The sequence below is a fragment of the Homo sapiens genome, chromosome 1 (assembly GCF_000001405.40).
Source record: "Homo sapiens chromosome 1, GRCh38.p14 Primary Assembly".
In the NCBI taxonomy this organism is placed as follows: Eukaryota; Metazoa; Chordata; class Mammalia; order Primates; family Hominidae; genus Homo; species Homo sapiens.
The window spans coordinates 42,259,207-42,274,401 of NC_000001.11; the positions used below are offsets into that span (position 1 = coordinate 42,259,207).

A 15,195-nucleotide genomic window follows, 5' to 3' on the forward strand; every position below is an offset into this window, starting at 1 on the left:
GGACACAAACAGATCAGTAGTTGCAAAGGCCTGGGGATGAGGGAAAGGGCTGACTACCAAGTGACAATCTGGAATACTGTTCTCTATTTTGATTACAGTGATGGTTACGCTGTGTTTGTTGAAACTAATAGAATTACACACCAAAGAGTAAATTTCACCATATATAATTTTTTTTAAATTTCTAGGTATAATGTTATTTTTTTAAAGTAGTTTAGATCTGGAAAAGAAAAAAGAGGCCAACAACAACAAAATGTTCTCTTCCAACTTTAAAAAGAGAACAGAGAACACTGTATGTCTCAACAAAAGGCAGCTGCAACCACACTGCTCAAACAGTATTAACGTCAGGGCTCTAGGCCAAAACTTCTTTCAGCTTCTGCAGTGTTATCTCCCTGAATCAGACTCTCACTTCTATCTAACTCAATCTTTCTAATCTTCTGAATACCTTAGCTTTCTAACCTTGGTTTGTCTAATGGAATGCCTCACATTCATAATTCACCTCTGTCTCGACAATCACTCAATGGCACTAATCCATTTCTTCACTCTTGGATCTCACGTTAGTACTTATATTAATTCCCTTAATTCCTGATTCTACCCAGCTTTGCTCTGACTCGTCCCTCAGCTAAACTTGATCATATCCTCTTCCAGCCTTCAACTCGAGTTCTTATCTACCATGAGTTAAAATGACAAATGCTAGCAACCTCATCTATTCAAGTGCTTCAGAAGTGACAAACTCTAAAGTCTCCCTTGGGAAGCTGTATCAGTGTTTTTTCACTTCAATAAATATGACATTCTTATTTCGGTCCAACCAAACTCTTGCTTATCCTTCAGTCCTACTTCCTGTTTAGTTTGTACAGAAACACAGATAAACAGTCATCATCTTCTTTACAAAAATCATGCATTTACTTAAGACTAGCATTAAAATTATACTCTTATCTTCCTTCTTTAAGGTAATACCTACGACTCCTACAACACTGTTCATCATTTAATGTTATATTTTATGTTCCCTCAAACCTCTCCAGTTTTTCTACATATTTTTTAAAGAAAATGACCAAAATGGGATACCAGAGATTAACAAGCAATTTACAAATAAATATAACATAATACTAATATAGCCCCCCCAAAAAGAATACCCTTTGAAAAGAAAGATCAGTCAACTATGTTATGGTCCCTTATACTAAGCTACAGAATAGGAATAGAAAAAAATTCATAATTTGTGAGACGTGGTGGCTCACACCTCTAATCTCAACACTTTGGGAAGCCAAGGCAGGATGATCACTTGAGGCCAGGAGTTCAAGACCAGTCCAGGCAACATAGTGAGAACTCCATCTCCACAAAAAATTTCAAAAACTTAGCCAGGCATGGTGGCATGTGCTGTCATCCTGGCTACTCTGGAGAATCACCTGAGCCCAGTAGGCTATGAGAGCACCACTGCACTGGGCAAAAGGGCAAGATCCTGTCTCAAAAGAAATTTTTAAAGAAAAAAAAATCACAATCCTGTAAGTTTCAAAAGTTAGTCTCTTAGCAGTGAATTTGTTATTTCCTCACAAACCAGGAGAACCCAATCTCTATGGTCACTGAGGCTTTACAACTTCCCATTCCCAGGCAAGACAAAGATTCCCCAACCCCTACACCCCTAAAAACTCTTCTATGAATTAACTGTAGTTATTTCCCCAGGATAGTCAGGTGGCCTTCATGTGGTTTTAAACTTCTTAGCTATTTTCTCAGTTCTATTAGAGCCCACTGCTACTAAGTTTAGATAACTGTTGAAACTAAGCCCTATAATCCTTTAGTTCCTTTCAAGTCAAAGATCATTTCTCTGAACTGAAGAAAGGGAAACAAAATTGAGAAAAGGTTAAGCTGAAAAGCAGAGAAAGAAAATTATATTTTTTAAACTATATTTAGCCAGTAATCTGCTTTTCCCTGATGTAAATATTTACCTTTAAGATAATTAAGACACATGTATGAATTACACAATAAGACTTATAACCCAAAGAATTTAAAAAAAAAAAGACAAATATAGAGAAAACAGAACTAATGAAAAGAGAAGAGACAAAAGACGGGATTTAAAAAATGGAGATAGACTGCAGAATGTATAGACAGGGTAAAAAGGGTATAATCAAGAGAAAAGAAAAACAAATCTGTCCCCAAAAAAGCAGCAAAGTGGATGCAAAACTGAATTTCATTTTGTGTGTGTGTGTGTTTTTTTTAATAAAGTGGTAACATAGCTGCTTGAAATTAGTTGTAAAGAGGTGAGAAAAATGAATCTCAGACCACCAATGTACATAAAGGGTACCAAATTTTAAGGGCTTTTACGACACAATCTTCTTGAAAATGAAGGATTAAGTAAGGAATAGATAGCCACATAAAAACATCTATGATTCAACAATACACTTCAAGATTAGGTTGTTCTTCACACCTCTCTGGTAATACAATGAACAGAAAGCTGTATCGTGAAAATACAGAGAAGATGCTATACGAGCTACTTCTACCTCTTGACCTAAGTCATGGCAGCAGCTAGCAAAATCCTAAGGGGTTATAAAGTCCGTCCCATACCCAAGACCAAAATCTACTCCCACCCCAACTTCGCTCAATGGTTTTCTCCCACTGTGGTGAGGGTGGTTTTGGAAAAGCTCCTCAAATGTCAGGAAACACTGTAATACAAAAAGAAACAACAATTCATAAGTACCAAAACTTAACTAACATTTTGGTCTCCCTCTCAAGGAAGACTGATATCATGGAAAAAGTACTAATCTAAGAACTAAGAAACCAACTGTGCTTTGCTTGTTCAACATTCATTCTAAGACTTTTTCTGTAATTCCAGGTGATTTGGGGGGTGACGGGGTGAACACCAGGCCTACTCTCTCTGTTAAGTGTTACTCAGCTGGTGGAATATAAACCAGAAGCTGCTGAAAGACATACTTGCCACTAATTGGACTGAAAATGAAGCTATCAGAGAAGTTAGCACAACTAATGGATGAAGAGACATTCCTGGTGATATAATTTAAGAACCTGGCTCCAGTTCTTCCTTAAGTACTTTTCCCTTTAAGTTAGTTTGTATTGAGTTTCTGTGACTGACAAGTATGTCTGGCGAATATGCCTGGGTTCTAATTCCACAATGAACCTGAGCAAGCTGTTCCTCATCTACTGGCCTTAGTTTCTTCTTTTATGAAATGGGCTTGAGCTGAAGTCTTCAAAGCTTTTTTAAAGCAGTGGAATTTTGTGTTTTCTTAAAAAACAAAATCTCATTTTGAAATCAAAAATAAAAATGACTTTATTCACATAAATGTATTTTATAAGACCAAATTTACATCTATGTCTGACCAAAATCAAAGAGAAAAATGTATTTAAACCTCGCTTTGTGGCCAGGTGCGGCAGCTCACGCCTGTAATCCCAGCACTTTGGGAGGCCGAGGTGGTCCTATCACTTGAGGTCAGGAGTTTGACACCAGCTTGGCCAAGATGGTGAAACCCCATCTCTACTAAAAATACAAAAGTTAGCCAGGCATGATGATGTACACCGGTAGTCCCAGCTACTCAGGAGGCTGAGGCAGGAGAATTGCTTAAACCCGGGAGACGGAGGCTGCAGTGAGCTGAGACTGCACCACTGCACTCCAGCCTGGGCAACAGAGTGAGACTCCGTCTCAAAATTAACAAACAAATAAACAAACAAATAAAATAAACCTCACTTTGAGACTGAAAAGAAAAATTACTACTACAAATGTACTTTATAAAATCAAATGTATGATATTTACTTATTATGACCAAAATCAATAAGAATGAGGTGTTTTAATACATACAAAACCTTAAAACTGAAAACTACTGGTAAAAGATGAAAGCTCTCATTAGCCTCTCAGGACTCAATTTATTTCTGTATTTTGTTTTAGTTGCACATTGAGAATCCTGATTCAAAAAGAAGAGTTGCAAAGAGTAACATGTTTTCCATATCTGTCTTACCCCATATATTAAAGATGAACAAAAGCTTAAACTTCTACACAAAAGAAAAATACCTGACATGACACATTTTTAAGAGTCTCCAATTGGTTAAAATCAAGTACATGATAGAATTAAGCATTCATGTGTACTGATTTTTAATTTTTTTTAATTATTTCAAATTCATTTAAAAATCCAATCAGAACCAAAATGTTTACAGAACCCAAATAGTAACTTCACAGGACTCTAGTAAATAATCTCTGAAGTCTCTTAAAAATATTTTTCAGTCTGATTCATATATACTCATTGCCTATAGGAAATGTGATAAAGAATTTATTTTTAAAATCTAATTATCTTTTTGTAATAAGCCTCCTTTCCTTTAAAGGAAAAGGTGCACCAATTCCTATTCAGAATCTCAAAGTTAAAAACATAGAGAAACAATTTCTTACAAGACTATTATAATAATCTGTTCAATCTTACTGAGAACCAACTTGACGGAGCAGACAGATGATAAAAAGTGCTATAAAATGTTCATTACTTCAGAAAAACTGCCTAAAGATAGAAACGAATAACTCTTCATCTCTAACTTCAAGAAGTTAACAGTCTAACAGAGGATACAGTATATTCATTCATTCAACAAGGGTGTCTCCTCAGTGCCATCAGCCACTGTGCAAGCAACTGGGTCTAAACAGTGAACAAGATACACATGAACCCTACTTGCATAAATTTAGATTTTAAGGGCAGTAGATAACTAACAAAGAGCTTGAAAAAAAGAGACCATATGAGTAGGTTAACTTTTTTTTTTTTTTTTTTTTTTTTTTTTGAAGATTGCTGCCTACTATGTGAAAGTTAATATAAACTGGAGGGATCGAGCCCAGCCATTGAGAGTCCAATTAGGAGCTACTACAATGATGACGGTCGCTACAAAATAAAAAGAACTCAAAAGAGGGAGCAACAAATTCAGCTGAAGTATGGGGAAACAAAAAAGCCTCAGAGAAGTCATGTTGCAGCTCAATACTGAAAGATAAGAAGCAGTCTAGACAAGTAAAGCAAGGAAATTTGTACAGAAGACCATATGAATAGCATGTTTGGAAAACTTCAAGTAGTTCTTCATGATGAGTCTTGAATGAGGTGAATTATAGCTAGAAAGGCAGATTGAGAAAAAAACAGTAAAGAATATTTTACAAGAAGAGAAAGTAAACACCTCCTGGACACTAAGGAATACTTTTAAGCAAGGTGCTTACATGACCAGGGTTACATTTTAGAAAGATTCTTCCAAAATCAGTTAGCCTAAAAACAAATATAAGAAGTCTAGCCACCTAAACAAGCATCGTGCTTCCCAATAAATACACTGTCTCAAAGTCCTAATCTAGTAACTTACCTTGACAACCAAATACAGTACAACCAAGTACTCTTAAGTTTCAGAGACCAAGCAACTAGGACCAAGTTCAGGTCACACTATAGTTGACTAGCTATTAAAACAACAAAAAAAGGGAGGAGTCACCATAGAAAAAACGCTAAAAACGTGAAAAATGCAGTGGTGTCAGGAGATAAGAAGAGTCAAGTACAGAATACTCTTCTTGATTACACTCAGAAATGGGCTAATAACAGAGAAACTGTTTTATTCCAGTGTAAGAATACTTCCACTTTTTGCCAGTTACACAGAGATGCACCCCTTATATGTAATAATGAATTATGGTTCCTGACAAGCAGCTCAATCACCAAATTTAATTTAATACACAATACTTCAACCAAAGATTAGATTAGAAACAGCAAAGTACAACAGCACTGTGGTGTGCAACAGCTATACACTAGTTAGGTTCCCACAGCTTAAAACTCTCTAACAAGCTTTAGAGCAGGGTGGGGGAGGACTTACTATTTTGCAGAGGTTCCTATTCAATGAACTGGAAAAGTTCTTAATTCAAACATGACAAGTGACATACTGAAGAATTCAACTGTTTTAAGAAGATGAATCCTACCTTTCCAGGGTCATCCTTAGATCGAGGCACTTTAAGGAAACATTTGTTCAATGACAGATTATGTCGTATGGAATTCTGGAATTAAAGAAGAAAAGCCATAAGGTCAATAAAATCCAAAAAACATAACCCAAATTTAAAAACAGAATTAGAAATCTAAACATCTTTATGCTTTGCAAAACAATTACAAATGGAATAAACTTTTTAATCAGCTTAAAATTTAAATCTTTCTGACTTTCAAATTATGAATGCTATGAGGGGAAGCTGTTACTGGAAAATAATTTCTAGAGGATTTCATAAAATGTAATATATGTAGCATTTTAAGTGCTTATGACTTTTATTGATACAGGAAGATGCCTGTAATGTAATGTTAAATATTAAATTCCAAATATAAAATTGGCATATTATGATACATATTATGACTTTAATTGTGGTACTTATTTTATTTATTTATTCTTGGAAATAAGCCAGAATGCAAAATGTAAGAAGTTACTCTACATGAAATTAAAGATGATGACTATTTTCTTCTCTTTACTTTTCTGCAAAGTCCAAATGGTCTGCAAGACACATGTATTACCACTTATTAATTAGTTTAAAAAATGCTTTAAAAAAACATTCACTGCTCTATTACAAAAAAACATATAGAACCCTATTAGGTTCTCACCACAATCTGTAAAAAAGAAAACCACATGGAAAGATACTGGCTACAGGGAGCTGGGAAGAACATCTAAATTCTTCATTGTAGCAGGGAAGAACACCCAAGGTGGGTAGCAGGAAAATGCCCTTGGAAACCTGCAGAGTCTGTGAAAAAGAAATTTGTTCATGAATAGGTAGGACTGTACCCCAATTCTTACAGAATATGCCCCAAAGTCCATTTCTTCTCAATTAAATGCTCCAAAACCCATTCTCAAATTATCTTGGTTTGTTCCCAAATGGCTAGTATTTGGGAGAGAAGAGGTCCAACTGCATTTAGCCATTACTTAGAATGGTACCTTCTGGGATCATATTTTGACATAATATCTGCTTTATTGTTTAATATAAAATTCAGTAGTCTAACAAGAATGCCTATAATAAAACTTATCTCCCTCAGGCACAATATTGGAATTTTAAACGTTTTTAAAAGATGACTACAGAATATAAATTCAAGACCATCTATTACCAAAGCAGAAATTTAAAACTTATGCTTGGGATGTAAACAGCTACAAAGAATGATGCTCTCTCCCAAAGAGAAAACCCTAGGTAAGCTTTAAAAAAAATAAACAAAAAAAACCTATTTTTAAGCCACATCAGAGAGCTCAGGTTGCAAGGCAACCAAACCACATTCCTAAGAGGAGCAAGGCTATTCAATGAGAAACTGGACACACAACTAAATCACCTTTGGCAGAGCACAGGAAAAAGAGATGGCCACCATCCAAGCAGTTAAAAAGAAATTAGCTAAAATTTTAAAGGCCAAGCGTGGGGCTGTCACTTTAGAGCAACAAGAACCCCAGACACGAGAAGTTCCCACACACTCTTAAGCTCTTCTCCATAGGTCTTTACCATGTGTTCCTAAGAAAAAATAGGGGTAGGAAAGGAGACCCAAGAAAGTCTCCCCTAGTGGCATAAACAGGAAGAAAGTGATTGACAGTGACAGGCAGTGAGGAGACAAAGCCCACCAACCTTCCATAGATTTTACAAAGCAAAAAAACAAGTTTGCAGTAAAGGCAGCAAAACCTGTCACCCATAGGACTCTGGCAAAGATTCACTGCTTCTGGGGGAAGAATGGAAACAAAACCCTGGTGCCTCTAGGAAGGGATAGGAAACCCTTACCCAGTACATAGGCAAAGATGTTCTGCTGCTGGAGGAAAAGTAGAAGCAAATCCCTTGAACTCTGGGAGAGGTATAGGAAACTACCTTGGGCCCAGGATCCTATACAGATACCATGTAGAGGTCTGCTACACCTGGAGAAGAGGCGCGAAACTCTCACCCAAAAGTAACTACAGATACACAAGACTAGTCTGGCTGAGGGAAGAAACACTGAAACAGCCCACCCTAAGTTCGAGGGTCTGCATAAGACTAAGGCTGGACCAACACAACAGAGAAAACTCCTTGCCTCTACCAAAAGCATACCACTGAATAACAAGCAAACACAGTCTACTGACAGAGAAGGGACGAGAAATCCCCATGTGTAAAAAGGTGGGCAGAGACAACTAAAATCTAAAGAGATGAAAAAACAAAAAAATCCTACCGCACCCTCTCCAAGCACAAATTAACAGGAGCCCACTGCTGGAGGAATGTAAAGTTTGTGGTATACTGAAGATAAAGACATAAATTTTAAAAAAATCCACATTACTGACAGACAGACTCAATCCCCACAAGAACGGCCTGAGAAAAAAGATGCTTGTCCATTCACAAGTACAAGTACTATTTAACTCAACGTCTACCATTCTTCTACACAGATATCTGGTCTCAGGCAACAATTATAAGACATAGAAAAGAAAGGAAAACTTACTGCCAAGAGATAAAATAATCAACAAAACCCAAGAGAAGACTCAGGTGTTAGAACTATCAGAAAAAAAAAATTAAAATAACCATGCTTAATATGTTAAAGGGTCTAGCAGAAAAAAAGTGGACAACTTGCTTGCATAAAGAGATGGAGAATTTCAACAGAAATGTGAAAACTAAAGAAAGAGACAAATATAAACGATAGAAATAAAAAACATTAAACATGATTAAAGATTTTTAAAATTCCTCAGATGGGCTCATCATTAAACTAGACACAACTAGGGAAAGGCTCAGAGAATTTTGAGGGTAGAGTAACAGAAATTTCCAAACAGAGACTGGCACATTCACAAAGAGCAAAACAAAAACAAAACAGATCATCCAAGAACTGTGTGATGATAAATGCAATTAAAGTCCCAGAAGGAGAAAAAAAAGGAATGGGGCAGAGGGAAAATCTGAAGTAACAGTCAAGAATCTTCAAAAAAATAATGCAAGACATCAACCCAAATATGCAAGAATTTCAGAGAACACCAAGCAGAATAAAGTAAAAATCCACATCCCCATATTAATTACAGTGAAAGGGCTAAAAATCAAAAAAAAGAACATCTTGAAGGCAGCCAGAGAAAGCAGATTATATATAAAGGAATAAAGGTAAGAATTACAGTGGACTTTTCAAAAACTATGCAAGCCAGAAGGCAATGGAGTGACATCTTAAAATACTGAAAGAAAAAAAAACCTGTGCAGTGAAAATATCTCTCAAAAATAAAGGCAAAATAAAGACTTCCAAACAAAAGCTGAAAAAATTCATTTCGGCTCACTGACACTGTTATAAGGAAGTTCTTTTGGCAGAAGTATGAAATCAAACAAAAATGCAGATCACAAAAATAAATGAACAGTGCCGGAAATGGTAAAAAATGAAGGTAGATTTAATGCTTTAAAAAAAACTGTATGAAGATATTCAGACTGTAAAATATAAAAAATAAATTGTATAAAGCAAATATAATTTATTACGGAGTTTGGAACCATGTAAAAGTAAAATGTATGACAACAATAGCAAAAAGGATGGGTCAAAGGAACTGGAAAGACGTGGTTTATAAAATTCTTACATTATACATGAAATGGTTTAATACTATTTGAAGGTAAAGTGCAGTAACTTAAAGATGTTACAATCAACTGAATATCTGCGTCCCCTCAAAATTCTTATGTTGAAACCTAATTCCCAATGTGATGATATTTGGAGGTGGAGCCTTTAAGGTGATTAGGTTATGAAGGGTGTCCTCATGAATGAGACTAGTGTTTATAAAAGAGGCCTCAGAGAATTTATTTCCCTATTCTACCATGTAAGGTTATAATGAGAATGGGATCATCTATGAGCCAGGAAACAGGCCATCACCAGAATCTGCTGGCATCTTGATTTTGGAATTCCCAGCCTCCAGAATTATGAGAAATAAACATTTGTTGTTTGTAAGCCCCCCACTCTAGGTTTTTGGTTTTCTTTTTGTTGTTATAGCAGCCTGAATGAACTAAGATGTATATAGTAAACCCTAGAGTAATCACTAAAAACAATTTAGAAAGGGGATAACTAATAACAGAATTGTGGCGATAAAATGGAATCATAAAAAATACACAATTCAAATCTAAAATAAGACATGAAAAAAGAAAGAGGCATCAGACAAACTAGTTCACCTACCCAGCTTAAAAGTTCAAGATGAGGGGAAAATACAAATCAAGATGGTCAGAAGAAACAAGTATCATTAGTAAATGGCTCAGTGTGAACTCATCACTTCAAAGGAAGTACACACCTCTACAGTCTTCCTCCTCTACAAAAAGCTTAAATGTTGGAAATCTTCAGGGTTCTGCCCTATGTCTTTTTCATTTCTACATCTGCTGCCTAGCCAATCTCAGTTACAGCCAATTGCCACCTGTGATAAATCACTTAAATCTGTCTAGATCCAGCACAGACCTTTCTCCTGAGTTCCTAACGTGTATTTCCAACTATCAACTGCACATCTCCAGAAACTCCTCAAACTCAACATATTTAAAATTAAACTCAATCTTTATGCCCAATGTGATCTTATTTCAGTTTTCCCTTCTCAGTTTAAAGACATTATTATTCACATAACTGCTCCAATGAGAAACCTAAAAAACATCCTTAACTCCTGTCTCTTCCTTACCATCTAAAACAAATCTATCACTAAATCTTACTAAGCCTACCTTAGATCTGCCTATCTTACCCCATCTTTTCTGTGACTATCTCAATCCAGGGAACCAGTCTCAGCAAAACTAGTACAACAGCTTCCTAACTGGTGTCTCCCTTCCTCTCAGCCCTGCTTCCATCATTCTCCACCCTGCAGAGAGTTATGTCTTCACAATGCAATTTTGGTGTTACCCCTTAACTTAAAAACTTCCAGTGCACTTAGGACAAAATCCAATATTCTTAAGCCCCCAAAGACTCTTCATGATCTGACCCTATCTTGCTTTCAACATTCATCCCCTCCAATGTTCTCTCTCAGGTTCTAAGCTTTCCACAAATTGCTACATCTGCAAAGATTACTGCCCCCAGCCTTACTCCATCTTCTTTACCTAAATCAATCTACTCAGTTTTCAATTCATTCTTGGATTAAACTTCAGTTCTTTAGGGAAGCCCTTTCTGGTGTTCACAGATATAAGTTCCACTGTAATAAACTTCGTCATCCTGAATTTCTCATCACCTTTGCAATTGTTTGTTTAATGGTCTTCCCCCTCCATGCTGTATTCTCTACCAAAATGTAAATAGGTTCCATGAGGGTAGGAACCTTGTCTTTTAACCCAAAAGCTAGGATACAATGTTTTTCAAAGGGTAATCACATATCTGTTGGAAAAAAAATACCTAACACCTATTTAGAATGTAAAAACACTGAGATACGAAAGCCAAGACTTGTACATACACATAAAACCCACAAAGAAAAGAGGTTACTTCAGACCTTACAGCTTGGGTAGTCCCCATCTCCCATAACCCCAAGAAAAGAAGTTGGTGAAGTGGAGAGGCAGAAATAATTAGGTGATTTTTTTCAATCACCTAATCAATCAATATGATGAAGCCATGCTGATTGGCCTTAAAAACACCGTCCCCAAAAGCAGTTTCTCAAAACTACAGTTTATCTGCACTAGAATTACTTGAAATGTTATTTTAATGCAGATTCCTAGGCTCTATCCAAGGCACCTAATTTAAAATCTCTGGAGTAGTGACCTGACAATTCTAATTTTAAAAGCATTCTATGTAATTTTTATTTAAAGCTGAGTTTAAACTGCCACCTCCAATCCAACCAACTGCTACATTCTTATCCATTCTTTCTTCTGTGAGTCCTGGTTTCTGTCCCCACAGGTCCCCCCAAAAATCAATATAAGTACTCATTTGTTCTACCCTACCTAAAATGGTTTCAGAACTGCTCTCAACTTTCTAACTTCTTCCCTCCCAGCTTCTTTCCTAGGGGTTTTTTGGAGATAGAGACTGCCTCTACTGAAGTTCCACTACCGGACACAAATCTACTAAGTTGATGATTTCTTTGTAACTATTTTTGGCCTTGGAATGTATGCCATGAAGGTATATAAGGTATATACCAAAAGTTTCTTCAATTTGCTTTTTTCTGTGTGATCACATTATTAATTCAAAACAATGTTAGGCTTGTTTCTGCTTGCATTCTCTTTGAGGGTTTCCTTTTTTCATCCCTTTTCATTTTTTTTTTAAATATGTAAAACATGTACATGGGTTCAAAAGTTAAAACCATATAAAAAGGTATATTCAAAATCTTATTTCCTTCTACATCCTTTCCACCTTGGCTCCCAACTATCCCCTAGGGGTAGTTATATTAAATACACTTCTAGTTTAAATTCCTAAATTTCTTTTCACAACAATGACCAAACACATAATGTATAATATTATTCCTTTTTTACCCACACAAAAAGTAGCACAATACACCCACACACCACCTTTGTATTTTTCTTTTTTAAAATTATCCTAAACTTCAACAACTTAATAAGTTAACTTTCCTCAAAGTGAATACCATGAAATTTTATTTTTTATTTTATTCTTTTGGAGACAGGGTCTCGCTCTGTCACCAGGCTGCAGTGTAGTGGCATGATCATAACTCACTGCAACCTCAACCTCCTGGGCTCTAGTAATCCTTCCACCTCAGCCTCTCAAGTAGCTGGGACCACAGGGACACGCTACCATGCCCGGCTAATTTCTTTTTTTATTTTTTACTTTGTGGAGACAGGGTCTCGCTATGCTGGCCAGACTGGTCTCAAGTGATTCTCCTGCCTTGGCCTCCCAAAGTGCTGGGATTATAGGCATGAGCCATGAGCCCCCACTGCACAGAGCCTGAAAATTTAATTCCTTTTCCTCTAGTTCAGAATACAAAATCATTCAATTATGGAATATCCAAAGAGGTATTTTTAATATGTAATCTCCCTTCAAGGCCCTGACACAAAATGAAAGGGAGTTTACTAAAATTCTATTTGAGTCCTTTTAAGCAACAGGGGCAACATAATGTCCTCTGTGTTGCATCAGTTCACTCTGCATTTCTGGAAAGGTGGTGACAGTCACTTTAAGGTCTTTCTCCAAACCTCTCTTCAACCAATACAAGCTAACTTCACAAGCTCTAAGTGACCTCCCATTTTCCCACATCCTATCGCCTCCATACCTGAAGAAGAGTTAGCAGCAGACTGCTGAAGTGTTCTAAACAAAACTAAGGAGAGTGAATGGGAAGTAAAATAGAACAAGGCCTGCGCAAAGGAGAAGATAAACTAGGTTCCATCTGTCTCCACTCGAAGTGTTCAAAATATTTCTATGTTTATAAAAATAAAATTAAAAGTGATCATGCCATGTGCTAGGCACCAAATACTTAAAAATTGGGTAAAGGAAATTTTAATAGTAATCTCTGGAAATATTAAAAGTCTGCCTAAAGCAGTAGATTGGACCAGATCATCTCTCTCAGGATCTTCTAGTTCTAAGAGCAACATCATCCTTCTCTACCCATTAGTTCTCTATTTCTTTTTCTTCCCATTGAAACTTTATCACTACATCTAAAACAGTTTCAGACCCATGACTTGGGCTGGCTATCGGCAAGGAGTATCAGCAGAATGGATTTGGCATTTTTAGGTAGACGTCATCAAAAATGAAGCCAGACAAGTTAATGAGGAAAACAATACTCGAACTTTATATGCTATTCCTTAAATTTGGACCAAGCTCTTCAGTTTGGCATTCATATATTCATAGGATCTCCATATTCTGACTCTATCACGTTCTCTACTGCAAGCCACTATAACCAAGTGCTTCCTAACACTTGAACTTTGAAAAACACCTCCACAAATCTTAACTCTTCTTCAAAACACAGCTCAAGTCCCACTTCCCTCAATGGTTATCTAATGATTCCCCACTTCCTTGTACTCTAGTGGCATTTACTCTGTACCACTCAATTTAGATTATCATACTCCCCATAAACTCATTAACTGTACCCTTCATTTAACACTTTTTACTACGTCACATACACAATGGATATTTTTATAGTTTACACACAGTAGGTGTGGCCAATTAGTCAACTATTTATAGCACAGCACTCTGGATTCCTCTATTACAGAGCTTTTTACACAGCATAATTACTTGTTTATATGTATTCTTCTCATCTAATAAAGATTGTAGCTCCCTTAGGCCCTGTGCTATGCTTCCTAGTACTGCCAAAGCCTAGCATACTGCTTCACAAGAGCAGATAATAAATAAATCCTTTTCACATTATCAAATGAAAGACGAAATCAGCTGAGGACCAGGCGTGGTGGCTCACACCTGTAATACCAGCACTTTGGGAGGCCAAGGTAGACAGATCACTTGAAGTCAGGAGTTCGGAACCAGCCTGGCCAACATGGTGAAACCCCATCTCTACTAAAAATACAAAAAAATAGCTAGGCATAGTGGCATGCGCCTATAGTCCCTGCTACTCGGGAGGCTGAGGCATGAGAATCACTTGAACTAGGAAGGTAGAGCTTGCAGTGAGCCGAGATCACACCACTGCACTCCAGCCTGGACAACAGAGCGACACTCCATCTCAAAAAAAAAAAAAAAAAAAAATTGCAGAAAAGAGGAGGATATCATGTAGACCAGATATTCCAAATTAGTACTCCCTAGGCTGAACCCAGACACAAGATTTATGTCTGGCCTGCAGAGATTCATGAAAATCAGAATTAGTTGACAACAGTTAAAAATTTGAAAATTACACACAAAATCCAGATTTCCCTTTTCTTGGGGAGCGGGGTAGACTGGAAGATCTGCCATGTGCCCTAAAAAGCAGTAACTGACTAGAACATAGTTGCTCCTTTTACATTAAACACACTCTTTAGTCTGGCACCTTTTTTGCTTTCCCCATTTACGTCACCTACCTGGCATCTGCAGGCACTTAGGTTTACAATCAATGATACAGACCCATGAATTCTTATTGGGCTTTCTAAGCCACATACTCAAATTTTAGCCATTTCTACTCCCTAGCCACCATGTGTGTTCATTGCCACACAGGTTTATCAAAATTTTCTAGCCTTTTCTCAGGCTAAATATTGACAAAGAAAGTCTACAGTACCCAGGGGTAAAGCCAGAAAGCACAGCTTAAATAGAGCCACTACTACTTGCTTAGAATGATGCATTGATTCATGTTTCATTCAAGTTTTATTCGGTATATCCTCCACTGAAACATTCTGTTAGGATAGACTCCTATTCAAAATATACTGTTAACAATCACTTCTCATACTGAGTCAGCCAGTTGAGGGGAGTTTATCCTGGAAAA

The 15,195-nt window shown here is 36.7% G+C and overlaps 1 protein-coding gene across 16 annotated transcripts in view, besides 1 other annotated feature; it reads right to left on the reverse strand.

Moving 5' to 3' along the window:
* The window catches only part of FOXJ3 (forkhead box J3), a 159,333-nt gene that overhangs the window by 82,659 nt on the left and 61,479 nt on the right, over positions 1-15,195 (reverse strand). For 15 of the 16 annotated variants that reach the window (XM_047449488.1, NM_001198850.2, XM_024454163.2 and 12 more), the window contains one exon: positions 5,909-5,983. In XM_047449488.1, coding sequence (XP_047305444.1) covers positions 5,909-5,983 — 75 coding nt within the window. Of the gene's footprint in view, positions 1-5,908; positions 5,984-6,569; positions 7,107-15,195 lie in introns of those variants that run through there. The other variant, XM_017000694.2, reaches the window with a different exon arrangement.
* Positions 238-287: a silencer, noted in NCBI's record as "silent region_757". NCBI's record gives its function as "represses an Ori minimal core promoter by ATAC-STARR-seq in GM12878 lymphoblastoid cells {active_cell/tissue: GM12878}" and the evidence as "EXISTENCE:reporter gene assay evidence [ECO:0000049][PMID:35858748]".